Here is a 2479-nt window from a genome sequence, read left to right on the forward strand (position 1 = left end):
TTATTAATTACTCTCCAGTCCTTTTCACTTGTCTAATCCAAGTGTCTAATTTCAGATGTCTAATATTATTAATATGAATAATCACTTTTTTTAAATTTGCAAGTTGTTAATACAAACCCTTTATATAACCATCTTGTGTGATTCTTTCCTGACTCTTCCTCAGTTCTGTTAGGTAATAGCAGTGATGCCATGGATCATGTCAAATATTCAAACTCTCAGTGAACACCCAAAGATAGACATCCAGACAGCCATTGCTTTTCTAATGAAGACAAAACTTTGAAGCACCTGCTGCTTCCATGAAAATATCCAAAATAATCATCCTGCTTTTTGCTAATGTTTTTTCCACAGTTTCTACTTTCCATCAAGGATAATTCCAGAACATTGATGTTTCATCTGTTTGGCTGAAGCTTTGCTGTTGTGGCTGACTTCTCAGGCCTATAAAGAATCCTTGGATCCTCTGGATAAGTAAGAGTTGCCTCTTTCTCTTTCTTTCTTTCTTTCTTTCTTTCTTTCTTTCTTTCTTTCTTTCTTTCTTTCTTTCTTTCTTTCTCTCTTCTTTCTTTCTTTTTCTTTCTTTCTTTCTTTCTTCCCTCTTTCTTTCTCTTTCTTTCTTTCTTTCTTTCTTTCTTTCTTTCTTTCTTTCTTTCTTCCACAGACTAGAATATAATCTATTTTGGGGAGTCAATATGTTGCTGAAAAGTGAAACAGATAAACTTCAAAACTTTATTTTTATGATTGAATTGCATTTTAAAATTATGCATCAAAATTGTTGAACATTTGGAAATAGAACCAAATATGTTTAAAAAACAAGATATTGTCACCTACTAGGCAGAATTAATATTTCTGCAATTGTCCCCCAGTATAATTTATGTTAGTTATTTTTATACTTGAGATTATAATTCATAAATTTGTGGCTCATTTATATTCATTAAATTACATGAATGCTATCATGTGATACTGTAACTTATTACATATGCATACACAATATATTTCTAGGTCAATAAATTTAACAGAATATAATTTTAATAATAATATTAAATTGCATGAATATAACATGATATGCTTAATAAGTTTCTTGATTTCAGATTTTCAATTTTCTTACAATTTCAGCAACATAAATGAGGCTGACAGACCCTACAATTTACAAAACTACCTTTGCCTTTCCCTTAGACTTGTACTTCAAATACATATACAAGGTCAGAGAACATTTCTAGATTCCAAAGTATGAGTCTTATCAATATATACTCAAAGAGTTTTATCACTTTTTATGTCCACATTAGGCACCATATTAGAGCATAAGTATTGACAACATATTATTTAATGTTTAACATTCTGGAATGTGGATGCGTGTGTTCTAACCCTGACCTGATACTTACTGGTCTTGAGATCATGTGGAAGTAGCTAAGTCTCAATCTTATCATTCAGCAAATGGGCAATGATGATTGTGCTTACCTTGTAAGGTGGTTGTAAAGATTTTTTAAAAAGGTGATTTAGGAAAGGAGGGAAGATGGCAGATGGGAGGCAGGACTGACTTGCAACTACCACTCAGATGGACAAAACAGTGTGTGGAGACTCACATCATGAACTTTTGCTCCAAGAACTACTGAAGGAACATACCAGGAAAACTGAAAGAATTAACAGACGCTTTGAAAGAAGTGGCTTGCTGCTGCAAACTCTGAGAGACAGCTGAAAATCAGCGAGTACCCAAAGTGTGAGAGGGGAAAGGTCCACCTCGAAACACACATCCTCACCAGGGAGCCTGAAAATCCAGATTATTGGAGAAGAATTTAACTTTGCCTAGAGCTGAGGCAAATTTAGAGAGCTGGGTGAAATATAAAAGAAGCAGCCGTGGGAAAAGCCCCGTAAGCACTCCTGGGCCGTAGAAAAGCCCAGGGAAGCCATTTCTGAATTCATCTCACATGGGTCCTTGGGGCAGGCTACTAATGGAACTGGGGAAAGAACACAGGGAGAAGGAAACTTCTAGCTGAACTTTGTAGGGATTTTGACCCAGTGCAAATTTTCCAGGGCAGAATCTGGGGATGGGGGTGAATAGGAAGTACAGATATGAGCACAGAAGTCACACTGGGGAAAGGCAGGGCCTGAATGCCCTGCTTGTTTTCTCAGTGTGTGGAGGCTTGTAGCCAGGGACAAGTTCCCAGCCCTGGTTACCAGCTGCCAGTCTAGAAATGTGGGGCTGTTGGGGAAACATGACAGGAGTAAACTAGCCTTTCTCACTGCATGGGAGCTGGATGAGGCTGGTCGCTGCCAGCTTTTCTCTACTTCCCTGGAGACCTATATGAAGCAGTGGAGGCAGCCATAACCCCCCTGGGGATTCCATCTGCCTGATAACCTAACTCCCATCCCCCACAGCAACCACAGCAAACCCCACCCAACAATAGTCTGAGCTCAGACACACCTAACACTGCCTCCACCTAATGGTCTTTCTCTACCTGGCCTGGTAGCCAAAGGCAAAAGACAT

This window comes from Homo sapiens, chromosome 13, assembly GCF_000001405.40.
Source record: "Homo sapiens chromosome 13, GRCh38.p14 Primary Assembly".
In the NCBI taxonomy this organism is placed as follows: Eukaryota; Metazoa; Chordata; class Mammalia; order Primates; family Hominidae; genus Homo; species Homo sapiens.